Source organism: Homo sapiens, chromosome X (genome assembly GCF_000001405.40).
Source record: "Homo sapiens chromosome X, GRCh38.p14 Primary Assembly".
Taxonomy (NCBI): Eukaryota; Metazoa; Chordata; class Mammalia; order Primates; family Hominidae; genus Homo; species Homo sapiens.
In genome coordinates this window covers 136,342,710-136,369,783 of record NC_000023.11, presented here as the reverse complement: position 1 = coordinate 136,369,783, position 27,074 = coordinate 136,342,710, and the positions used below count along the sequence as shown (strand labels likewise).

The following is a 27,074-nucleotide window of genomic DNA, read 5'->3' as shown; positions in this document are numbered from 1 at the left end:
TGTAGTTGTTTCTCGATTAACATTTTGTCCCAGTTAACATCTATCTTCTGGTAACTAAAAGAAGCTGAGAAAATATTAAGACTAGGCAGGATAGAAAAAGATAGTGAGCTCATTCACGGACCTTTCTACTGCTCTTATTAAATCGCTCAGACTTTGTTTAAAATGGAATAACAAGAGCTGCCTAGTCATGATTCTTTGGGCTTCAGTGGTGCAATTTCACTTTCACGTAGTCCCTGCTGTGGCAGAATGAAAGTAAACAGCAGGCCAATGGGAGACTATATTGTGGAAAGTAATTATAGACTTTTTCTCTGGAGTTGTATAGTTTTTAAGGAAAATTCAAGCTAAATTACACTCATCGTGTAAAAATTCCTGGTCCTCAAGCAAAAGTAATAAAGGGACTTCTCCTTTATTTGTTGCAGAATAAATTGATCCTCATTCCTTGAAATACTGTTACAGTTAATCTGCCAGTAATTGCAACATTCAAAATAATAATATCTGCTATTTACTGAGCAATTTCTATGAGCCAGTGTTCCAGGTTATCTATTGCTGCATAACAAATCACCCTAAAACTTACTGGCTTAAAGCAACAATGTATTATTATCCTTCATGGTTCTGTGTGTTAACTAGGCTCAGTTGAGTGTTCTCACTTGGATTGTCTCATACACTTCAAGTCAGATAGCAGCTGAGGCTGAATACATCAGAAGGCTAATCTGGGCTGGATGTCCAAGAGGGCTCACTCACATGGCAGGCAATTGATGCTGACTGGTCAGTTGAAGCTGTTGGCTGTACTCCCTACACATGGACTCCCCCAGTGGTGTGGGCTCAGTAGTGTGCTGGGTCTGGCTTGTGATGTGCTGGAGCCAACTTTTACCAGCTGGTGAGAACCAATTGTTAAATTTTCAGGAATTCTGTGAACGAGTTGTTAAACACGGCCATTATTAAAAATTAAATTATATAAACTTACAATTGCATAAATTATATTTTAAAATGATACTGAAACCTCTTCACTTTCTAATTATTTTGCTACATTTTACTAATCTGTGCTTTTGTGATTATTTACATATCTAATATATCTGTGCATGCATCTTTTACCAAGTTTATAGTTCAGTCACTATACGTTACATTGTAATTTGTATTCAGCCATGGAGGAGAGGGTATTATATCATGAAAACTGGCAAAAGCTACAAATCAGCACCTTCTTTGGGTAGAGCTGGTTTTTAAATATTTTTCAGCACACCACTGTTTGGGCTTCTTACAGCATGGTGTCTGGCTCTGAGGAAGCATCTCAAATGAGAGTGTACCAAGAGAAAGGATGCAGAAACTTCCAGTCCTCTTAAAAATTAGTCCCATCATTGGCAAAGCCGCTTCTCCCTAATTCTACTGGGCTAAGCAGTCACAAGCCAGCCCTGATTCAATTCCCAATTGACAAAGAGGGAATGAGTCGGTGGGCATTTTGGAGGTAGATACAACAGCAAGGCATTATATGTGCATTTTCTCATCTATTCATCACAATAACCTTTGTATTAGTCATAAAAGTACTCACATTATCTCCTTTATATAGAGTAAGAAGTTAAAACATTGAAATATTCTAACCCAGTGCTAATTCCAAAGCTTGAGCTCTTCAGTATCACTTTTTACAGCATCTGTGACTTTGGCCGTTTTCTCCACCGTGTTGGGGGTTGGAACAGCTGTGCTTTGCAGTCTTTCTACCTGACCTCCTGGGAATACCACTGTTTTCTCTTAAGCACTCACTATCCTGCCCTGATGGTGGAATGGATACAGACAGGAAAAAGTTTTCTGAAAAGTTCTAGTCAACTTCACTAGAGCCTGATGCATCTTTAATATCATGGAGGTAACAAACATTGAGCACAGAAGAGAACCCAAAGAACTTTGAAATAAAAGTACCTTTTCTAACTCTGTGATATTAAAGAGTTAAGAAAAAGGAGCATTTAAGTGAGAGAGCAGAAGAGTTTTTCTTCAACCAAGATATCTAATGCTTGTCAGCAAGATTGAAAGCAAAAGAAAATAAATTGTTTCAACGTGAATACATTTTTCTTTCCTTTATATTGTATTCATTGTTCATTAAGCCCCTAATTTACAAGTAGAATAGAAGGATTCTTCCAAAGATAATAAACTTGATAGTTTACTTTTCAGTTATATACATTACAATCATCATCCAACTGTTCCTTTACTCCGCGGTAGATTTTTTATATATATAAAATGACTTCTCAGTCAATTTTCTAAAAATCCCAACCCAGTGCAGTGTTTTTGTTGTTGTTATGACTGTTTATTAACTTTTTCTTGCACAAGAGAAAATTCTATTAGCATGTCTAAAGAAAATGTGTCACTCAGAAGGACGGAGGTCAGTGTGAAACACAAACCCTCTAACTTTCCGCCCACTCACTTCAAGCTGTAACATTTCCTATTGCCCTCACTCTTGGTTTCTGATCTAGAAATAATCAGAACTGTGCTTGCTTTCCTAATTCTTCTAGATAGTCCTCAGCAAGGATCTCAAACTTGCATCATCTGCAAGGAAAACAGGTCTGAGAAGTTCACTGCTTCAAGGCCAATTCCCTGGCCCTTCTGCGAGGCACTGGAATGCCTGTGCCTCAATTTCTGACATTTCACTATGGGAGGGACCCATTTTATGCAGTAGAACCATGTCTGGCAAGTTGTCTATGAAGAACAGATTCAATGTCTGGTGAGAACTCATTTCCTGGCTCATAGACCGCCATTTTTTCACTATAACCTCACATGGTGAAAGGGGCAAAGAAGCTCTCTGAGGCCTCTTTTATAAGGGTGCTAATCTCATTCATGAAGGTTCCACCCTCATGACCTAATCCCCTCCCAAAGGCCTCATCTCCAAATACCATCACACTGGGCTTAGAATTTCAACGTATGAATTTTTGGGGCACACAAACATTCAGCCTATAGAATACACCTCACCAAAGGAGACATAAATATGGAAAATATGCATATGAAAAGCTATTCATCATCATATGTCATTAAGGAATTGCAAATTAAAACAACAATGAGATACCACTACACACCTATTAGAATAGCCAAAATCTAAAACACTGACAACACTAAATGCTGGAAAGAATGTGAAACAACAGGAACTCTCATTGCTGATAGGAATGCAAAATGGTACAGCCACTTTGGAAGGCAATTTGTCAGCTTCTTACAAAACTAAACATACTCTTATCACACAATCCAACAACCACACCTTTTGTTCTTTACCCAAATGAGTTGAACACTTAACATCTATACAAAAACCTGCACACAGATGTTTATAGTAGCTGTATTCGTAGTTAGAGCTTGGAAGCAACCAAGATGTCCTTCAGTAGGTGAATGAATAAATAAACTGTGGTACATCCAGACAATGGAATATTATCCAGTGCCAAAAAGAAATGAGCTGCCAAGCCATGAAAAGACACATGGAAGAAATTTAAATGCACATAACTAAGTGAAAGAAGACAATCTGAGAAGGCTGCATATTGTAAGATTCCAACTATATGGCCTTCTGGAAAGAGCAAAAACACAGAGATAGTAAAAAGATCAGTGATTGCCAGGGGTTGAGAGGAAGGAGGGATGAATAAGTGGAGCATAGAGGACTTTTAGAGCAGTGAAAATATCCCATATGATACTGTAATGGCGGATTCGTGTCATTATACATTTGTCCAAACCCACAGAATGTACAATAGCAAGAGTGAACGCTAATGTAAAACTATGAACTATTGGTGATAACGATGTGTCAGTGTACATTCAATTGTAACAAACATACCACTCTGGTGGGGGATGTTGATGGTGGGGAAGTCTGCAGGTGGTTGGGGGAGGGCACATGCTGAAGCTCTGTACTTTCCACTCAATTTTGCTGTGAATCTAAAACTGCTCTAAAAAATAAAGTCTATAAACATTAACAAAATTTAAAAACTTTTGGCTAGACTGACAAAGATAAAAAAAAGTGAAGACACAAATTACTAAAATTAGGAATAAAGGTGTGTTGGGGGGCATTACTACCAGCCATAATCTAAAAGACAGACAATAGTAATAAGTGTTTACAAGGATGTGAAGAAATTGGAACCTTCATACAGAGTTGGCAGGGATGTAGAATGGCACAACTGCTGTGGAAAACAGTTTTGAAGTTCCTCAAAAAGCTAATCATAGGGTTACTATATGACCTAGCAATTCTACTCTTCAGTGTATACCCGAGAAAATTGAAAACATATGTCTACATAAAATCTGTACATAAATGTGCACAGCTAGATTTTTAATAATAACCAAAAGATGGAAAAGAAATATCTGTCAAATGATGAATTAATAAGCAAAATGTGGTATATCTATATAATGGAATATAATGCATCCATAAAAAGGAATGAAGCAATGATACATGCTACAACATTGGATGAACCTCAGAAACATGAAATGCCCCAAATTGGCAAAATTCATAGAGACAAAAAAGTAGATTAGTGGTTGCCAGGAGCTGGGGTGGGGGAGGAATGGAGAGACTGCTAATGGGTACAGGGTTTCTTTTTGGGGTGATGAAATATTCTGGAATTAGTGATGATGGTTGCACAATCTAGTGAATATGCTTTTAAAAACCCACTAAATTGTACACATTAAATGAGCGAATTTTATGATATGTAAATATCTCCATTAAAAAGTTTGTAAACTACATTGAGATATCAATTTCTGCTTATCACATCGCAAAAAGATCCAGAAGTCTGATAACAAACATGCTGTGTTGATGAAGGAGTTGCGAAAAAGGTGCTTTTCATAATTTGCAAGTGGGAATCTAAATTGCTGTAACTATTACAGAGAGCATTTTGACACCATCAAAAGTATGATTGACCCAGAAATTCTACATTCAAGGATTTATGCTTTAGGTATACCCCTACTTTCTCAAAATTCTGACATATATGTAATATTCATCGAAGCAGTGGTTTTTTAAAAGAGATACTCTTTATTTTGAATCTCTTTTGCCTAATAATATGAATTATGCTAACAGTGTCACAAACAAAAATAAAAGCTAATGTGGTCTACAAATGTATTTTTGAAAGAAATGCAACCTTCTATATCAGCTGCTTAGACAATACCAACTCTAAAACATCTTATACACTATCAAACATGTGAGTATTTTTAAAAATATGTTATAGTATTTTCCCTACAATGAAAAAAACACAAAAATAGTTGTACAGTCTTGTTTTCAAAGAAAAATGTTACTGACAACCTAAATACTCATCCATAAGAAACAGGTTAAATAAATTGTGGCACATTTATTGTGGTATATATAATACAATGCAGAAGGGGAAAAAAGAAAGAGAAAATTCTTTATAGGCTGATATAATAATCTCTGCAATATATTGTTAAGAGAAAAAAGCAACGTAAAGAATAGTGTGTATAGTATGCTCCACTTTGTGTACAAAAAGTGAGGGCAAGTATATGTGTGTATACAATATACACATACACAAATATGTATACACATTTCATTATGGATCCATAAAATATCTCTGTGGATAGTAACTGAATGGCTGAGGTCAGCAGTGGGAGGGAGATGTTTTACACATACTCTTTTTGTTTTTTGAGTATTGAAGTCAGTGAAGTATTACCTATTAAAACTTTTTAAAAATTAAAAAAAAATAAAAACAATAATTAGCCGAAAAAGTAAAATAAGGCCAGGCGCGGTGGCTCACACCTGTAATCCCAGTACTTTGGGAGGCTGAGGCAGGTGGATCACTTGAGGTTAGGAGTTTGAGACCAGCCTGGCCAACATGGTGAAACCCCGCCTCTGCTAAAAGTAGAAAAAATCATCCGGGCATGGTGGTGGGCGCCTGTAATCCCAGCTACTCGGGAGGCTGAGGCAGGAGAATTGCTTGAACCTAGGAGGCAGAGGTTGCAGTGAGCCAAGATTGCGCCGTTGCACTCCAGCCTGGGCAACAAGAGCGAAACTCCATCTCAAATATATATATGTAGCAAAAACAAACAAAAATCACTGAAACACTGATAGTCCTAACATCTCATGTCCCACCACCACCTCCACCAACATTAATTACCTTTGTTCTGAAATTGGATTGTCGTAAGGTAGATTTTCCTAAGTGGGGTTTGCCTATACTCTCTCTGGTTTGGGGTCAAGTAGGCAAAGTAATTGAAGTTCCATAATTTGTCTTATATGTACAAAACAATCTTACCATCACTTATGGTAATATTAGCAAGATCCACAATCTTGTCAGGAAGTTCTTGAAGCAATTTGCATTGTTTAAACTTTGGCTTTTCCCACTGAGATTTGCCCGTGTTGATGCTGATTGAACTGAAAAAGAGAGGAAAGAGCTTTCTCATCAGAGGATGAGGCAAAGATAGTCTTAAAGCAAATGGTGGATATAGCCTTAGCATGCCTTCTCCTCGCCTGCCCCAAGCCTCCTGGCATAGAAAGCAAAGGTGGGAGCCCAGTACTTCTTTGTGAAATGAAGAAATTTTGCTCTTAGGGAGCAAGTGAATCTAGGGTCAACATGTGGGAAGGGGGAAGGGGAGTGGATAAACAGGTAAGGGAGCTGGGAATGGGGCATGGCAATGTCCTACTGACCAAGCATCAAGACAGAGATTCTGGTCCTCTAGACATGACTCTTTCCTCTCACTGTCCCTTCTTACTCCTCTTTTAAGGGGAAATTCCTGTTCGAATGTGGTCTCTATCTCAGCATATTAACTTAAGACAATTAATATAGAACCCTCGATGGCCCATCGGCCCTCATCATCCACCCTCCCCTGTGCCTCACCCAATTCAAGCCAGTTCATTTCAAGTCAGCTAACACATTTATTGAGCACCCACTCCATTCTAGGAATGGTAATAGGTAGCACACACAAACAGGGTGGGGCTTCATCCCTCCCTCAAGGAACTTGTAATTAGGGGGTTTAAAATTCTAAGTGTAACTACTCGAAACTTAGGGCAAATATAAGATGAAAAGCTGTATAAACAAAACTGAATCTATCAAACTACCAAGGAAAGAGACGTTACTTTCAGCATTTGAGCTGAGCTGTGTGCTGAAAGGACAGAGGTAGAGAAAAATCTCTTCCCCCAACCCCAAGAAGAGCAAACAGCACAGGCAGAGAAAGAGACACCAGGAAGCGTCCATTGAGCCCAGAACAGCAAATGGTCATTTTGACTGGAGCGTATGATAAAGGGAGGGAGAATGCTGAGTGAGACAGCAGGAGAGGAAGCCTACGGTCTGGACTATATTTAGGGGTTTGGACTTAATTCTTGAGGCAATGTGGAGCTGGAGCACGACAGTGGCATGATAGCAGCCATACTTCAGGAAAATCATGCTGGCAGCAGTGTAGAATATAGTTGGCGGAGGCGGGTAAGGGATACTGTTAAGTTAGATGGCAAGGAGACCGCTCTAATAGTGGGCAATAAGGGCTTGCACCAGGGTAGTGGCAGTGGGGTTGGAAAGGAAAGGCTAGATGTGGGCTCTGACTATGACCATCAAAGCTGCAGGACTTGCCAACTGATTAGACACAGGGAGGAAAAGGAAAGCCCCTAATGTTGCTTTCTAAAAGAGTGCTTTTAAGCCTCTGTCAAAACCTGCTGCCCCTCTGGTTTTGCCCACTTAAGTTAATGGCATAAACCATGAACAGCAGAGAGTGAGAAAAGAGGGCTGATTATTTTAAAAAGGAAAATGATAAAGTCAACAATAGAAAAGTGATTTAGTAAATTACTATAGCCCATCAACTAGATGGTTTCCAAGGTCGTTATTTTGAAATGAACATTAAGATAATAAATGTAAAACATGGAAAATGTTTGATAAACCATTGAATGAAATGGTAAATTACATTATTGATACAAGAATAGTGATTACTGCTACATAAAACTTAAAGGCATACAGAGAAAGGTTACATGAAAAAAATATATGCCAACCTAAAAACAGCTGTGTTCAGGCAGTGGGGTTATGGGTGACTTTTTTCTCTTTTGTCTTCTTGAATTTTCTTCTGGGATGATGGGTAACTTTTATCTTTTGTCTCCTTGAAAATTTTTCTTGTTATGTTGCATGTATGTTTAAACAGGTACGAAAGGTAATAGAAAGAAAGACTGGCACTAGAGGTGGAGGAAGGGAGCATGCTCAGACAAATGACATAGAAACATGTCCCCAATTAGGTAGATCTTTGTATATCTGAATCAGCAATTAGAACTTGGCCTGTACATACCAGAATCTTGTGGCATTTCCATCCTCATTTTTTATGCATCTGGTTTGGGCTGTCTCCGTAGGGTTGGTTAATAGCCACTTATAGGTCCCTTTGTATTTAGAGGCTGTTTCATCAGCTTTGCAATTTCCAGGCTCTACAGAGAAAATGTATGCACATTTTAAAGGACAAGAGGCACTTAAAAGTATTACAAACATCCATTATTATTATTACTATATAATAATATAATATTATATATTATTATGAACGTCATTATTATGCTGCACGTAAAGATCAGCAAATAAAAAAGAAAACTTTTTCTACCTAGCCATTTGGACCAGGCCTTATTGAAAATATCATTATATGGAGTGTTTTTTTTTTAAATAATAAACCACCCAGTATAACCACATATTTAGTCCTTTTCATTAAAACAACGAATTGATGAGATAGGTTTTTCTAAAATTTTGTACAGACAGCGTCTTGCTATGTTATAGAGGCTGGTCTCAAACTCCTGGCCTCAAGCAATCCTCCCACCTCAGCCACCCAAAGATCTGGGACTATAAGCATTAGCCACCTCACCTGACATTGTTCTGTCTTGTTTTTAAAACAATACATAAGAATTGAAAAATTTCAAGCCACGTGGTGGAGTGTAGAGTCAAAAGTCAAAAGTTCCCACCTACCAATTGCCCAGCTTCTGAGATACCCACTGTTAGCAGTTTTATATCCAAAGACAGGAGACTATAGACGAACTTCTCTCTCTGGAATGGCCCCCTTCTTAATGGACTCTGGGATGGATTTCATTTTAGTAAATTCAGTGTATCTGACATGATCAGTATAGACAGGGGAGCTCTGTTTTGTTTGTTTGTTTGTTATATGAGGTCTTACTCTGTCACCCAGTCTGGAGCGCAATGGTGTGATCATGGCTCACTGCAGCCTCAACCTCCTGGCCTCAAGTGATCCCCCTGCCTCAGCCTCTTGAAAAGCTGGCACTACAGGCATGCATCACCATGTCCAGCTAATTTTTTATTTTTTGTAGAGACAGCGTCTTGCTTTGTTGCCCAGGCTGGTCTCAAACTCTTGACCTTAAGTGATCCTCCTGCCTCACCCTCCCAAAGTTCTGGGATTATAGGTGTAAGCCACTGCACACAGTCTAGGGCTCTGTTTTTGATGTTGCTGAGGGACAGGGCAAACTTCCACATAGGGCTGTTAAGGCAAGGTTTTGCTGTCACACGAAGGGAGATGTGACATGGGCTAAGTCTATATGATAAGTTCCCATTTTTTTCTGAGCACTTACTGGGTTTCATGACCCTGATTCTGGAAATATTTCCCTCAGGTGTTGAGAGAATGCTGTGAGAAGTGGCCCAGCCAGCTTTGCTCAGCTATCCCAGTCTCCATTCTGAGTGAGGGTGAAAGGTGCCTTCCTCTCATTCTTAGGACACATTCATTAGTGTCATTTACATGTTGGGCTCTACCTGTGGCTTCAACACGTTTCTGCCCCCCATTTCACTCACACCCCTGCACCGTCACAGGCTGCCCTCTTATACTTAATTAGTCTGTTGCCAAGGATTGTGCGTTCTAATGCCTGTGTGTGTTATCTGGCATTAGAGCTGTGTGAGCTCAATGATTTCTACAGCAGTCTATTGGGGAAAAGGAACAAAGCTGCACTGGGAAGGAGGTGGAGTGGCCTGGTAGCCTTGCACTTTTACCAGTAAAGCTTTGCTAATCAGAGAATGCCCCCATGAGAGAAATCTGGGACAGTTCCCTGATCACTTGCCAAGATGAATAAGATGGCTGAATCAATCAATAAATTAGCAAGTATCTATTAGGCATTTATTGTGTGTTAATGAGGAAGCTCTTCAGGTCTCTGTGTATTTATGCAAGAGAGAAAATCCTCCCATTCCATTGACGGATTGGCCATTGCTAATATCCAGAGCTGACCAGCAGTCTCTGGTAACTCCTCCAGCATTCTGTTCTTCCATAAGTTCTTAAAGGTAGAAAGGTCATCAGATCAAGTGGGTACCAAGAATATGAAAAAAAAAACAGAAAGATGACTTCTCTCCTTTCTGAACTCAGAATCCTTAACCAAGTATGCATTATGAGTTTTATAATAAAGGAAGTAAGTTCATACTGCAATATCCACCCCCCAAAAAAATTACCTAGTTTTTTCACTGCAACGTGTTCACAGTTTACTAATAACGTCAATTGATCTTGTGTGAAGTTTCCATGTGTGAAGTTGCCATGTATTTTACTTTTGATTTTTCTCATCAATTCAGAGGATGCTAAGGAAGAGCTGGCTTTTATGATGACCTGACAAACACAACTACAAAGCAGAATAAAAAAGAAAGATTGTTGCAGTTATGTCAAGGGAGTGCAACTTGGCCTGCAATGCAGAAATTCTGTACAGCTGATTTAATTGGTAGTTCATAAATGTCAAACATTTTACAGCTATTAAGCAGCCAATCTTAAGAAGTGATGGAAGACAGCATACTGAAATGTTCTGATAAATTTTCTCTTATCCAAAACAGACAATGCAAAACCTATTTTCAAAAGAATGGTCAGTAACGTATGCATTGTGTTGAAATTGCTAGCCTTGAGATTTCTCTAAGAGTTTGTAATAATTAATAGAGAAGATGGAGTTTTCAGGATTTATTATTTCAGAGAGAACCTTTTATTCTTCTGGTCTCCAATTTACCCATCATTACTGAAATCAGGCAAATAGGCATATGATGCTCAGTTAGTCTATAAAGAAGTGTTCTGAAGAAGGCTCATTTCTATAATAAGTAATAATGATGATAATGATAATGATAGTAGCTAACATTTGTGAAACCCTTCCTCCACATGTTCTGATTCACTTTATTCTCACAACGACCGTATGAGGTAATGCTATTATTATTCCCATAACACAGATGATGGAACTCAGCCTCAGGGAAATAATGTTTCCCATGGTCACAAAAACTCACTCAGTATTTATGTCCACTAAAAGATCACTGATGAAAGGATAGAGCTGTCCTTGACTTCATCCTCTATCCTCTACAGCAAGATCCTCAAATATTCTGAATTCCTCTAATATTCCATTAGGAAGCACATTTCAGATACAAAAACTTACCTATATCTTTTTTCCATTTCCATTTGTAGACACGGCTTTTTGAAGAAGATATTTGCTAAGTTTCCTGCCAGTTGTTGCAAGTTAGACATACCTGTACTTGCTCAAAACTTATCTCCATGTCTAATCTAAGTGATATCTGCCCCTCCCTTGATCTATATTTGGTGAAGTCCCTGCTCATCCTGTCTCCTTCCTTTGGAGCCTAGCTCTTCTCAGCTTTCATCTTTCCAGTCCGAAGAGGAGTCTTCATTTTAAACCTCTCCTCCTGCTTGCGACAGACCCTCTACTCCATTTCAAAGACCTCTTCATGGGCCTTTTTTGACTATATGTTCTTCCTGATGTGCGTCGAACAGATCAACAATAGCCAGCATTCCAGGAGGAGCTGGACCACGAGTCTGAACAGAACCGAAGCTACTTTCCATGTTGTTGTTGTTTCCAATTTCCCTGCCAAGTGTTTCGTGGACCTTTTTGACCAAAACAAACACTTCACTCCCCCGTCCCAGATTATGACCACCCCTTTTTCTCTTCACTGCAAAGAGGCAGCAGGCTGGCCGCTAGCCTGTGCCATGACCAACCGAAACAACATATTTCATGAAGGCAAGGACCTAATTACAGCATATGTGAAATAATCACTGGGTACTTTGATCTTCTTCTGACAACTCTGGCCAACTGGCCGCACATGCAGAATTAAATGGAAGGAAAATCAGAACTAAATGTGCCAGCTATTAATAAACTCAGTTCCTACTTCCTACCTGTATGGTACATAGGAAATTGTAGCCATTTCTTGTCCTTCTCTCTGTTCCAACTAATGCAAAAGAAAAGTACATAGTCACTGAAATCTTTAAACAAATGTCATAACTGAGTACAGGGCTTATTGTTAACAACAATTATATAATTATGCTTCACATTTATGTAACTCATTGCCGTCTGCAAACTACCCTCAAAAACATCAATGCATTTACTCCTCACACCAACCCTGTAGGGTGGGCAATACAGGGATTGTCGCCCTCTTTGTTACATGAGGAATCTGAGTCACAGAGAAGTTAAATGGTCTGCCCAGTATCACACAGTTGACAAGACACAGAACTAGGAGCAGAATCTAAGCCTTCTGGATCTAGATATTAACATGCAATTGACAATTGTAAACACTATCAAACATTTACTATGTTCTAAGCCCAGTGTTAAACACTTAACATAGATGATCTCATTTTATCCTTCCAACAGTCCTCATCTTACAGATGAGGAAACTCCAGCACAGAGAAGTTAATTAAGTTGCCCAAGGTCTCATAGTCAGGAAGTGGAAAAGCAGGGGTTCCAACCCAGGCAGCTTGACCATATTATCACCAAAAGGATTTTACACCTGTTACTGAAAGGAATTTTAGTTATATCATGCTATAATGTGTATATATCAAAATTTCTGACTCAGCTATTTACAGAAAATATTTTTAATGATAGTGGATAATTTGGAATGCACTATGCACTATAGGTTTTTGTTTGTTTGTTTTTTGAGACAGAGCCTTGCTCTATCACCTAGGCTGGAGTGCAGTGGTGCAATCATAGTGTAGTGCAGCCTTGAAATCTGGGCTCATGTGATCCCCCCGCCTCAGCCTCCTCAGTAGCTGGGACTACAGGAATGCACCACCGTGCCTGGCTAATATTTTTAAATTATTTTTTGTAGAGATGGGGTCTCCCCATGTTGCTCAGACTGGTCTTGAACTCCTGGCCTCAAGCAATCCTCCCACCTCAGCCTCCCAAATCTCTGGGATTACAGGTGTGAGTCACTGCTTCTGGCCCCTGTACTGTGGGCTTGATTGTATTCTGTATCATCAAATACTTACCTCACACTTAAATACCTGGAAAGCTGTGTGCTTGCTACTCATTTTAGAGTGTGCTATTGTAAAGCTTTGAGGCAATGGAACAAGAACTGAGAATTGGGGCAAGGATGATGGGAGATAGTTTTATCACACTCTGGCTTCAAATCTGGACAAATAGAGGGTGGATTTATTGTGTGAATGCCAGTCTTGCAAACAATTGTGTCACTCTTGGAAGAGCTAGGTTTTTTTTGCAAGACATCTATAACGAAGAAATTCACTTACCATTTACAATCCCTGTAGACCAGAAAATGTGCCTCAAAAAGCTGCCACATGGATAGTTCAAAAAAGCAGGGGATGGTTTTCTTGATGGCTTTTTGTACCAATCCCAAAGGAAGTAATGTAATTTGACCCCCAATTGCCACAACAAAGCCTCGCCTGATAATATATACTTGGGTGGAAGAGCTATTGACTTACATCTAATCAGGCATAGGATAGGTCACAAGTAGATTCATTTTGAAAAATTACTTACAATAGCTCGATCCATGACCATCTCTTCCTCTGAAATGTCCCTGTATCAAAAGCATTACAAAATTATAGGAAAATGAAATATAGTACCAAGTATACAGGGCATGAGATCAGGAGAAAGGCAACTCTGAGGCAGAACAGTAGACTTCTCCCAGCCTGGAATTCAAATAATGCTAGGGCTCCAGAGGAATGCTTCCAATGGGCTTGCTTATTATATGCATACCAAAATGGTGGCAAGCCTTTGATTTATTAACCTTGCATCCTGGAATCTATTCCATAATGGTACCAGCAAAAGTGCATAAAAATAGACATACAAGTGGAAATTACTCAAGTGTCCATCACTAGATAATTGGAGGAAAACATCATGGCATATCATATAAAAGAATCCTGTACAATTATTAAAACAAATGAGCTATATCTGCATGTATTGGCCTGAAAAGGCATACATGATGTATTACAAAGCATGAAAAGAAAGTTGTCAAACAGTATGTAGAGGAGAATCTTATTCTCTTAGTAAATGTGTGAAAACAAATCTAGAAAAATCAATAAAATAAGCTGTTAACAGGAGTTCTTGAAGGGGTGGGGGAAGGCAAGTATTCAGAGATTTTTACCGTCCATGTTATATATATATATATTTCTGTAAAGCTCTAAGATTTTACAGTGGTCACATATTACTTTTGTAATAAGGAAAAATAATAGACACAGTTTTTAAAAAGAATGTTTTATACCCCCAGACATCTCTAGTTTTGGTTTAGTGAGTTAAATGTTGTGAATGTTTGTGTCCTCCCAAAATTCAACGTTGAAGTCCAATCCCCAGTGTGATTATATTAGGAGGCGGGGCCTTTGAGGGGTAATTAGATCATGAAGGTGGAACTCTCATGAATGGAATCGGTGCCTGATGTGTTATATGTGTCTCTGTGTGTGTGTGTGTGTGTGTGTGTGTGTGTACACATATGTTTTCATCCACAGTTCTTGGCTCATAACTCCCATAGCCCTTGTTACAGTCTTTTGTTATAATGTTAGGTGTGCTAGGCCTCAGAAGCTGGCTTCAGCAAACAGAATCTCTCTGATCTTCTCCCACCCTCCTTTCACCTGCCCCAAGGCGGAACTCTAATCTTTCTTCACCTTTCTGATTGTGAGTCTTAAGACCCTCTCCAGAAAGAGTCTTGCCTCATATGAGACTTGGGAAAGGAATGCTGACATAATGATGTTTCCATAAAATCCCAAGAAGACTGGGTTTGGAGAGCTTCCCAAGAGCTGAATACATGGAGGTTCCTGGAGGGTGGTGCACCCAGGGAGATCATAGAAGCTCCATTCCCCTTGTCCCTTACCTCGCCTTACACATCTCTTCATTCGTATCTTCTGCAGTATCCTTTATAATAAACCAATGCACATAAGTATTTACCTGAGTTCTTTGAGCTGCTCTAGCAAATTAATCAAGCTCAAAGAGTGGGTCACGGGAACCCCAAGTTGAAGTCAGTTAGTCAGAAGTTCTGGAGGCCTGGACTTTTGACTAGTGTCTGGGGTGAGGGGCAGTCTTGGGGACCTGTGAGATCTGAAGCTATTTTTGAGAGGATAACACCAGAATAGAATTGAAGTAGAGAACAACCAGCTGGTGTCAGCTGCTTGGTGTGTTGGGGGAAAATCCCCACACGTTTGGTCGTAGAAGTCTTCTATATTGATTGTTGTGTTGGTATGACAACAGAGGAAAAAAAACAGTTTGAATTTTTTTGAAACAGTACCCTTATAAGAAGAGACAGGAGAGCTTTCTGTCTCTCTGCTTTCTGCCACTTGAGGGCACAGCAAGAAGAGGGCCATCACCAGACACTGAACCTGCCAACACCTTGATCTTGGACTTCCCAGCCTCCGGAACTGTGAGCAATAAATTTCTGTGGCTTAAGCCACCTAGTCTATAGCATTTTTGTTATAGTAACTCAAAACTGACTAAGACAATAACCTACCGTACATTTACCTCCATTCATTTATATGAATTTTCTTGAACCTATTAATATGTATATGAATTAATACTTGATTAATAATTAATACTTGGATATGTAAGAGAAACCAAAGTCCCAGTGTACAGAAGACAGGCAGTAGCATTTTATGTTTTAAAAATCAGTTTGCCATGGCTTAACAGAGCCATGCCTATTTTTCAAAGAGCTTCTGCGGGGTGTCCCTTTACAGAGGACTAGTATATGTGCAGCGAAAGAATACAGGAAATACTTCTCAGGTGAGCAATTGCCTTTGCCATAGTTTCCATGATACTACTCAGTGCCTGCCCATTTCACTGCAATCACCTTTCGAAATTTGTGCCCCAAGCAAATCTTGGATTAGTCAACATTCTTGCTTTAGACATTTCAAGTTCACTTTGGAATTTCTCTTTTCTGAAAGTGAATCATTCCAAAATAAAAGGCCTTATAAATCCTCGTGCATTGTCCATACATAGCACTTCAAAGCATGATTTTTGTATAAATCACAGATTCATAGAAACTTAGAGATGAAAAGGGCATTAGAGGTAACTCAGTCTAACTGCATGACTTCCCCTATTGATTTTCTTTTGTTTTGTTCTCCCATTGGCTTTGTGCCCTACAATAGTAATACAATTTTTTTCCTCATGCCAAAAAGAACCTACTCAGGAAGGAAGATGCAACTAAAAATGTGGCAGCCCTAAATCTCAGACATAAACATAGGACATCCCCTCCAGATAGGAACAGACCCAAAATGCCCTCAAATTGCCCTTTGACCCACAGTAAATGTCATTCACATACCTGCTTTTAATTTGGGTTTCCAGAGTAGCAAGAGAAAATTCACTGTTCTGAAATATAGAATTCAACTGTACAAGACAAAAAAAAATCAGTTTTAGTATTCTGCTCCTCTAGTTTAACTCAGCAAAATCACTTGGGATGGTGTGATCATTAAGCTGCACTCATTATTTCAGCTGGCTCAACATTTCCATCTGCTCCATTAAGTTTTTCCATTTACGTTTTACCTGCTATTATGGGCTGAATTGTGTCTTTCCAAAACTCAAATGTTGAAGCCCTAACCCCGAATGTGGTTATATTCAGAGATAAGGCCTTTGGGGATGTAAGGTTAAATAAGATCATAAAAGTGGAGCCCTACTCCAACAGGACCAGTGTCCTTATAAGAAGAAAAAGAGAGACCAGGGATGCGTATGCACAGAGGAAAGTCCATGTGAGGACACAGTTAAGAAGATGGCCATCTGCAAACCAAGGAGAGAGGCCTCACCAGAAACCAACTCTGCCAGCACTTTAATCTTAGACTTCCAGATTCCAGAACTGTGAGAAAATAAACATCTGTTGTTTAAGCCATCCAGTCTGTGGCATTTTGTTATGGTAGCCTGAGTAGACTAATACACCCACCCATTTTCAAGGATTTATAACCAAGCCATAGACACTTGAAAATAAGTGCTGACAGGGAAAGAAGGGAAACAGATATGATTATTTGCTGTTGGGAGATGGTGCAAGTTGGTGTCACCTATCTGGGAGGCCATTTAGTGACAGCTATTTAAATGTGAAAGGTTCACATCTTTTCATCTACTGATTCCAATTCTAGGAATTTATCCTATAAAAATACTTAAGTGCCTTAAAATTTACTTCTAGGGAATTGTTTTCAGCATTGTTTCTTTCTTAAACTTTTTTTTTTTTTAAAGAAAACAAGATCTCGCCATGTTGCCCAGGCTAGTCTCAAACTCCTTGGCTCACGCAATCCTTTTGCCTCAACCTCTCAAAGTGCTAGGATTACAGGCATGAGCCACAGTGCCCAGCCCAGCATTGTTTCTAAATAGAGAAGAAGATAGAAACAACTTAAATGTCCACCAAAGGATTTAAAAAAAAAACTATACTACAACCATGTAGTGAAACCCTATGCATCTGTTAAAGTGTATGATTTATATTTACCAGCATGAATATGTGCAAAGATACATGGTTAAGTGCAGAGGAGGGGGAGCAAGTTGAAAAATAGCATAACTAGTACAACTACAATTATTTTGTAAAAGAACACACATGCATCAATGTTATAATATGCACAGAAAAAATATCTAAAAGAATGTACCTTAAACTATTAAGAGGAGTTAATGCACAGAGCAGTATTAGAGAGAGGACATTTACTTTCTGGGTTTTTGATGTCAATGTCTGATTTTGTTACAGAGAGTATGTATTAGTCATATCAAGAAAAAATTAAGGATAAGTAAAACATTCATTGTGTTGGAAAAAGAAATAAAATGCAGAAAACAATAATACTTAAATACCATTGTATTTAAGTATACATTTTGTTATCACTGCTCTCCCACTTTTCCCAAATAGGAAAATTTGGCAAAGACTCAGAATTTGTGTCTCTAAAGGGAAATGTACAGATCTCAACAAATGAAAATAATAACGTTCCATAAAAGCTTTCAACATTGGCACTATGAAAGAGAGATTGCATACATTCTCATGATGTTGCTTACAGAGTAGACAGATTTGCAGCAAAAAAAAAAAAACTACTTAGCTGTGAAATTTATTATTGGTAGAAAAAAGTAAAGCCTAGTTTTAATATATTCTGTCATATATATAAATGTATATATTCACATATATTTATATATGCCATAAATATGCAAAAGATTATTTTACCGAATTTTCCGTAAATTCATTTATAACACTGGTAATAGGGATCCTTGGCTCTTCAACAAAGACAGAGAAGCTCATTTCAACATTGTAGAAGGAAACTGTAATTAAAAATAAGGAGGTTAATTTTATTCATTTAGTTCAAGAAATTTGACTTCTGTAAATTTGGTGAAAAGTGTTCTCTGTTTTAAAGTAAACCAAATAATAACGTCTCATGCCTAAACTTAGCTTAATTTAACTCCAAGGTCAAGAACCAACACTTTCGGCTCCATATCAAAAAGCAGAACAGGACGTTACCATCCCAGTTTTGCTTTATTTGGGCACTTCCTTGATTTCTAGTTGACAGACACTCCACAAATCCCACCAATTCTCCACTCTCATTGGCCAACAGACTTTCAGTCCACTCAATGGCCAAACTGAACATTATCTCAGAAGATCATTTTCTCTGAGAAAGTAACTGTTTTTTTCTTCCTGTGCCTTGTTTTCTGCTTTGGGTTTTTCTCTCCTTTTTTCCCTTTTGCTCTTGTGTATCCTATCAAATTTCTATTGTAGAATGTTAAAAGTTGCAGGAATATTCCAAATTTGAACAATATGGAAGCCAAATATTCCCTGGCCTTGGACAAGCACTCCTAGTCAGCTGCAGGTAGGGATTGGAGAAGGCTGAGACCTGCATAAAAGGAATCCAAAAGGCAAGATAAGATATATTCTGGTGTTTTTTTCTGGTGTTTTCTGGTGTGTGGTCAGCATGCTCAGACCTAAGGCCGTATGATTCTCTTACTGGGAAGGGATGAGGTTCCTAGTCCATGTGCACATTGGCAGAATCAGAGTCAGACAGTCAAGAACAAAACAGGTGGAAAGTAGGCTTAGAAATTGTCATGCTGAGTGAAAACATACATTTACATTATATTTCAATAAGGCAAAGACAAGAAAGATGGCTAGAGAATTTTGTATTTGGACAAGGTACTCACTGTACCCACTGTCTGAAGGAGACAAGAAACACCTGCACCCTTCTTCATTCTTTTCTGCCTTCCAAGAACGGGCCACTTTGGAGAACACATGACCCATAGTGCATGAATTCTGTTGGGGCTACACCACATGCATTATGGAGCAGTACCTGTGGACTTGGTGGCAGTAGGCGAAGTCGATGCTTCCGTAGATAGAAAGGAAGGTGTGGAGTCCAGCCAAGTTGTTTCAAAAAAGGACGATATTGGTGAAGACACAGTTGCTGTAAAAGGATATGTCACCCCAGTGGATATGAGTGGAAATGAGGCTCCAGGAACAGTGGATGTAGTAGTCATTATATTTAGAAGGGAGTCCAGTGTGGGCTTAGGAATAATTAAAGTAGAGGGTGATGATGCAGTTGGAATTCTGTTCCATGAAGATGTTATTGTAGAGCTAGGCAGAGGCATGGCACCAACAGATAGAGTGTGGTCAGTTGTAGAAGGTGACATAGTCTTTCTGCTGAAGGATGAAGGATGAGACACAGTCCTGGGGTTGGCAGTTATTGTGGTTCTGGAGGATGCCTCAGGGTGTGTGGAAATGTACACAATGTCATCTGTGACATTTATAGACATAGGGAGAGAAGTTGGGAAGCCAGTAGTGATACCACCCAGTGTAGGTGTAGGAATGGTTCGGGTGAGTATGGTGCTCATAGTAGCAGAGGGTAGTGTTGTCAAGTTAGTGAATGGGTGCGCTGATATCATGTCAGATGTCAGAAATGTTGATTTTGACACCTCTACTGTAGAGGAAGTCATAACATGAGGGGCATTAGATACAGTTGCCGGAGGGGAGCCAGAAGGGAGACTAGATAAGAGCCATGTCAGAATGGGTGACTTTGAAATTACAGATCCTGAAGTGGCACCAGAAAGAATTGATGGGAGTGTGGTCCCAGGAGTTACAGATGTGGTCATTTTCTCAAATGTGTGCTTAACGTCAGCCAATGTGGAAGTGATAGCTCTTAAAGATGTTGATAATGAAGGGTTCTCAGAAAGCCCATGGTTAGGAAGAATTCCTGACATAGGAATTGATGACATTGCCATGACATCTTTAGATACTAGACCAGTCTGAGAGGCTGTGAATGTTGACAAAGGCCCAGGAACAAGGTGTAGAGTCTCTGTTTCCATCTCATTGGATGTAGGTACATTAATAGTGGTGGAAATTGGAAACTGAGAACCTTCAGCTGTGGGTATGTTCCAGGAAGTCATAAGCAGAGGTTGGGTATTACTAGATGTCATTCTTGTTCCCAGAACTGGAAATTCAACCATTTGGGATGTGGGAGGAGGAGAGGTCTTTGGAGTAGAGATCTCAGCTTCAGTACTATGAGGTGAATAAACAAATGATGTCAAAGAGGGTAGAGTTGCACTGGATGGGGTCCATGGAGGGTATGAAACAGGGGTATTCAAAGATGTGGCATAGTTTGTTAAGGAAGTCTTTTCTAACAAGGAAGTCATCTTTCTAGTATTAGAAGAAAAGCAATTGGTGGTTGTTTTAACATTTTTTGTGGGTCCAGAAGCACTCTTAAAGCTAGTCAGAGATGGGGAAACCTGAATATTGAAGGAAGTATGGAGACTATCTGCATGAGTAGGTGAAAGCATATTTTCAGGAACAGTGATTCTGGAATAAGTATCTGTGAGAGCTACCCCTGTACCACTGTTCACAGTAGATAGGGACCTGTTAGTAATCCCAGATAATATGCCCAAAGTTGTAGCCTCATCTGCTTGTGATGACTGTTGAGTTGCTGATAGAAATGGTGAAAATGTGGTCTTTGGAATGGAGGAAATAGCTCCAGTGCTCTTAGAACTGAGTGGAGAGAAGGCAGTGGTGCCTACAAATGGAGTCACTATCCCAGCCATAATGGTGGTGGGAACGGTTTTTACAAAGGGCAAAGTTGGCTCTGTTGGAGAGAGAAAGGTCGTAGGTGTGATCCTGGAAGGTGCCTCTATCATTTCTGTAGTGAAAGCAGAGGAAACCATTTTGTTTTTTGAAGTAGCCCCAGCATATATCACAGGTGTGACATCCAATGTAGATGTTTGCATGGTCATAGTAGTCCTGGGGGTAACTGAAGACAATAAAGTAGAGAATAACCCAACTCTTGTGGAAGTGTCAGAAGAGACTGTTGCAGGTGTGAAAGCAGAGTTATTAACTGGTATTGAGGACATCTCAGACATAGGCCCAGAAGTGGCTGTACAGGGACTTTTCAAACAACCTGGATGCATTGTTTTAGAAGATTTAGTTATCACTATTGGGGGAGTGTCAGAAACTTTTTTGGAGGTGAAGGCAGTTACATTAACTGGCAATGAGGACATCTGGTAAATAGGAGTGGACGTTGCCATAGAGGATTCTCTAGGAAGCATTGTAGGTACATTTGGAACAGAAAAGGCTGTAGTGATCCTGTCGGAGAGAACTGTAAAACCGTCATTATATAGTCCAGCTGTGGAAAGAGACAAGGACTCAGGGAAAGTCTGTGTGCTTTCAGAAATGAAAGAGGCAACTGAAGTCACCTCAGGTTGTGTCCTAAGTGAATGCAAGTGTGAAAAAGTTGTATTGATGTCCATAGGATTTGATATCCTTGTTGAGCTGGAAGTTGTGGTATCTACAAATGAAGTATCCTGGCCATATGAGACAGAGTGAGTCACATAGGTGGAGTTTACTATCATTTCCACAGTCCTGGGAGTATATGCTGGAAGGGCACTCGTGCTTTCCTTTTCAGGACACAAAAAAGTGGTGATTGTCAGAGCTTGTGAGGGGAGAGCTGTTTTCCCAAGACTGGTAGACATTTCTGGAATGTGAACACCTACTGTGTTACTTGAGGTCAAGGTTGGTGTAATCTGTGTGCTTCCAGAAGTGGGAGATGAAGCCAAATTTCCATCAGAGGGAGTCCCAAGTGGAATCTCTGAAGGCGAATGTGTTTGGTGACTGGAAATTTTTGTGGTCTCAGGAAATCCTGTATCTGTCATTTCCAAAGATGGAGTACCCCGGGAGTATGAAATAAAAGAATTCTTTGATGGGGACATTTCTGTCACCTCCATAGTTCTAGGGGTTTTTCCCAGGGATATGGTCATCTGGTCTTTGTCGGAAGATAAGACAGAGGTGCTAGTCACCAACTGGATGGACACTGGTGTGTGTACACGATATGTGGCAGATGAAGAAATGTGACTGTTTACTGAAGTAGTCAACTTATTGGCAGAGATGTGTGAGGGTGTGGTCTCATCAACAACAGAGGTCTCTGTGGTGCCAGTAGCCAAGCTGGCAACAACTCCACCACCACTGAAAGTATATGGGAAGCTGAGAGCATAGGTAGAAGTCTCCTCTACTTGAGATATTGGTTGAGTTGCTTCTGGTGTAGACGTAGTTGAGATCACATGAGTGGAGGACGCAGGAGGAATGTTGTCAGGGGGAGGTTTTGAGCAGACAAGAGTGTGTGTAGATGGGGTTACTGTATCAACTGAGGTAGAGAAAAGGGTGGTCTCAGCCTTAGCTGTCACAGGAGTGGAGAGTCTCAGTGAATGAAATGGTGTTTCTGTCAGAGAAGGAACTGCCATGGATGTCTTCCTGACAGAGATTACCGTGGCCTCTGAAGTGGTACGAATCAAGTCTCCATGGGTAGGCACAATAACAATGGTTGTGGAAGCAGTCTGATCCAAAGGTGGTACCAATGCTGTGGTCATTGTAGTTGAGGATAGATTTGAGACATCTGAGAGCACAGATGTAGAAAAAGCCCTGGCCAGTGTAGAAGGCTCAGACATGGTAACCTCAGTCTCCTCAGCCACCACAGAACTGCCATTAACTGGCAATGAGAACATATGAGTAACAGGCACAGGGGTTGCTGAGGAATGAGCAGCTGTAGGCTGTGGAGGTAAGATACCATCAGACAAGGACGTAGCTGTCCTGTCTGTAGGGGTAGTGGAGAAACTGGTTTCTGATATCCTTGTGGTAGAAGCACCCAGGGGTTCACCGAATATATGTGTGCTCCCAGAAGTGGGAGATCCAGCTGAAATTCCCTCAGATGTCTCTGAAGTCCAATGTGCTACATAGGTGTGGTTAAAATTAAACATTTCTGTCATTTCATTGTATGAACTCCTAGGTGTGGTTTTCACCAATTTTGTCAAAAGCCAACTTTCTCTCACCTCAGTTGTTGCAGTTTTATTATCCAATGGGGTACTTAGCTTTTCTATATCAGGAAAAGAGGAAACAGTGACAGAAGCTGTCACCCTTTGTGCTGATTCGTCTGTCACTTCCAGCATTGTTGAAAATGGAGAAACCTCAGCCACTGCTGCTATAGTTGATTTTCTCATAAGATAATGGGAAGTTGCTTCTTTTCTTGTCACAGTGGCATTTAATCTTTGTGTTGTTGCTGACTTTGGTACAGGGGTCGTTGTACCTCCAAATACAATTGCACCATTTATTTCTGTTTGTGTGGTCTCAGAAGCACTTTCCTCAGTAGAAAAATTTGGTTGAATGCAAGCAAGAGTAGATATTATATCTACTGATGGAACAACAGTCTCCCTTGGTGTCAAAGGAAGTTCATTTGCAGGTTTTGTAGACATAGGTATTGTTTTTAGTAGTAAAGTGGTAAGTTTAAATTCAGGCATATTGGTTATGGATGTGGTTCCAGAAACTATGGAGAAATTAGCAAACCATGGTGATGTCAATTTGGATACAGCTGTTGTATATCTGGCTGTAGTAGCATCATTGGCAGTGGTACCTTTGCCCTCTGGAGATGCTTTCAGTGGGGTGATATTGGTAGTTGCGGATAAATATTCTGTATAAGTAGTATTCTCATGAAATGCTGATGTAAAATTTTCATTAGGCACAAATGTGAGTATGGTGGTTGTGTTCATAGATGCCAGCAGGGCCTGGTCTGGCCTAGAAGTCCAAATGGTCTCATTGCTGGAGAACAGATGGGCAGCTTCATCAGTTGTGGATGTGGGACCTGACTCAGGTGCCTTGGATGTGGAAGCTGATCTAGTGGACATCAAAGTAAGCAAGTGTCCATCAGCTGTAGGTGTATTCTGGGTGTAAACTCGTCCTGTGATTGTGGAGGAAAGCATAGTTTCAGCCACTGTAGATGCAAGTGTGATTTCAGGAGTTAAGGCTGTACGTGTAGCTTCAGCATCAATAACTGTCTGTACACTCTCAGTCCCAGTAAATGAAAAGGATGTTAAGAAAGAAAAGGTCTTAGAGGAGGTCTCTTTCGACATGGAAGTAGACATGGCATCTTCCACTCTGGGTAAAGAGACATCCTGAAAATTTGTAGATGTCAATTCTGTTTCAGCTGTCCTTGGGGCAGGTGTGGTCTCAATAAGCCTAGTTGGGAGAGTCAATGAATGGACTGTAAATGCTATTTTCATATCAGTTGTTGCCAATGGAAATGCTGTCTGGTTTCTAGGAAATACAGAATCTACTGGAGCAGCTGTGGAGATGAGCACAGGCTCAGGTGGGAATGATGATGCAGTCCCAACATGAGTAGATGCAGGTGAAGTCTTTTCCACTGTAAACCAAGGTACAGTTCCGGCAGCTGTAGATTCAATGAACTCCTGGCCAGCTGTGGAGATAGGGAGTGCCCCAGTATTTGTGGATTTTTGTTTGAGACAAGGTGTTGTAGACATAGATGTTGACTCAATAGTTGAAAATAAAGATGTTGTCTTCGTAACAGCCGACTGAGATTTAATTGCTGAAGTTGTAGATACAACTGAATTCTTGGTAAATCTGGATGTGGATAGGAAATTAGAAGGTGTAGGTGGTTGAAAGATTTCAGTAGCCATGGCTTCAACCATTTTTGTTGTCTTTGTGCTTTCTGAAGATGGAGATTTCGTTTTTTTCATGGAATTGGTAGTATTGTCTATGGATATACTCTGGGTAGGCAGAGAGATGGCTGATGAAGTTGATAAAACATCCACTGCAAATGTAGCTGTCTCATCTACCAGTGTCTTTAAGATTTTTTGTGCAGTCATTGTTTCCAGAGGTGGAGATGTTGTATTGGAATATGATATGGTTGTGTAATCAGTTGCAAATATAGGTATGCTTTGAGACAATAGTGTAGAGGAATGTGCAGTATTTTGTGGTTTTACTCCAGTAATTTGGGATGGAGTGGTCATATCTATCTGTTGTGAAACAGTTGTACTTTTTTCTTGAATTGTCATATTTTCAGGAACAACTAAAAAAATCAGAAAGAATGTGTTATTTTGGATTCAGCTTTGGAAATTAGAGACAACTAGAAAGAGCTCTATAATTTCTTTTCATTTTGTAAGAAAGTATCATAGATATAATCAAATCACTTGATCACTTGATTTTCCTTAAGATAATTTTCTACTCTCTAAGACCTCTATATGGTACTCATAACACTCTGGTTAAGTAACTGGTAGGAAGATATCCATTTCGTAGTATCTTCATAAAATATATAAACATTCCTGAAAGAGGGATGCATGCCACAGTAGTGCATTGATTAAGAAGATTAGCTTTGGGAAAGGATCCAATTCCTTGAAAAATACAGCTATAAGAACTCAGTTAAGAAGAAACAGATAACTTGAATAGTCCTATATCTATTAAAGAAATTGAATTGTGTAGTTTAAAATATTCCAAAAAGAAAAAATCAACCTTAGATTCAAATGGATTAGTTTTAAATGCTGGCTCCATCACTTTCACACCCATTACATAACCTTGGACTAGTTGCTTAACCTCTCCGTGCTTCAGTTTCCTCCTCTATAATATGAGGATTATAATAACACCTATCCTATAAAATCGTTATGAGATTGAGTTAATGTGCATAAAACACTTAGCATAGCTTCTTATACAGAGTAAGTGCTCAAAAAACAGTTGGCTTTCACTTGGTCAAACTTCTATCAGTCATTTAAACACCAGATTGAAAATGTTTTAATCTGGAACTCCCAAATTAACATTTATTTAGTAGAAGTAATGAGTTTAAAATACTCTTTTCATTGCTTTCCATTACACATCACACTCCTGCGTTTTCTCCTACTTCTCTGTCCACTCATTTTTAGACTCATCCTATTTTACCTGACCAACGCTTTGTCCCAGGACCTCTTCACATTTGGCTGTATAGTTTCTCTACACCTAGGATTTCAATTTACACCTATACCCAGACAAATCTCAAAGTTATATCTCTTGACCAGATCTCTATTTTGCTCTATTTTGAGCTCCACATTTATATAACCAATTGTTTACTTGATATCGTTTCTTGGATATCTCATTAACACCTCAAGCTCAACATTCTCCAACTTGAACTCATTAGCTTCTCTCCAAACTGGGTCCTCTTCTGGTATTCCTTTAGTGACTGGCCCTACACTATCATACATTAAATTATGCAAGCTCCAACTCTCTGTCTCTCCCTCTGTCTCCTTCATTCTCTCTCTCACCTGCCATAGCCAATCCATAATCTTGTCCTATTGATCGTAGCTCCTAAATATCTCTTGGCTCACCCCAGTTTATCTCTATCTCCATCACTTACCACCCTAACCAGTCACCATCATCTTTCACTTGGACTACTGCAGTAGCCTCCCAACTGAACTAGTCTGCCACTACTCTTGGACCCCCTCTAATCTGTTCCATAATACAACCAAAATGATCTTTTTAAGTGCCAATCTGATCCCCTTCCTCTCTCTCTCTCACACACACACACACACACACACACACACACACACACACACACTGAGCTCTCTTTAGTTGCTTTCTATTGCTCATAGGATAAAAAGAAAATTTTTTCTTAATAAAGCATATAAAGCTATGCATGATTTGGTCCCTCTCTAGCTCTTCAGTCTCAATTTGTGCTAAGTCCCCTCTGTTTTTTTTTAGTCTTCCTCTTTTTAGTTCTCTAATACT

General features: G+C 39.6%; 1 protein-coding gene across 5 annotated transcripts in view, besides 1 other annotated feature; it reads right to left on the bottom strand.

Moving 5' to 3' along the window:
• The window catches only part of ADGRG4 (adhesion G protein-coupled receptor G4), a 115,928-nt gene that overhangs the window by 47,107 nt on the left and 41,747 nt on the right, over window positions 1–27,074 (bottom strand). For all 5 annotated transcript variants that reach the window (NM_153834.4, XM_011531269.3, XM_047441830.1 and 2 more), the window contains 8 exons: window positions 19,351–25,392; window positions 18,243–18,337; window positions 16,383–16,447; window positions 13,619–13,658; window positions 12,028–12,080; window positions 10,329–10,492; window positions 8,197–8,329; window positions 6,189–6,307 (listed from right to left, as the gene is read on the bottom strand). In NM_153834.4, the coding sequence (NP_722576.3) occupies window positions 6,189–6,307; window positions 8,197–8,329; window positions 10,329–10,492; window positions 12,028–12,080; window positions 13,619–13,658; window positions 16,383–16,447; window positions 18,243–18,337; window positions 19,351–25,392 (6,711 nt within the window). The remainder of the gene's footprint in view (window positions 1–6,188; window positions 6,308–8,196; window positions 8,330–10,328; window positions 10,493–12,027; window positions 12,081–13,618; window positions 13,659–16,382; window positions 16,448–18,242; window positions 18,338–19,350; window positions 25,393–27,074) is intronic.
• Window positions 15,813–17,012: an enhancer, noted in NCBI's record as "P300/CBP strongly-dependent group 1 enhancer chrX:135434931-135436130 (GRCh37/hg19 assembly coordinates)". NCBI's record gives its function as "activates an origin of replication core promoter dependent on BRD2, BRD4, P300/CBP, MED14 and CDK7 cofactors, with strong dependence on P300/CBP, by STARR-seq in HCT116 cells {active_cell/tissue: HCT116}" and the evidence as "EXISTENCE:reporter gene assay evidence [ECO:0000049][PMID:35650434]".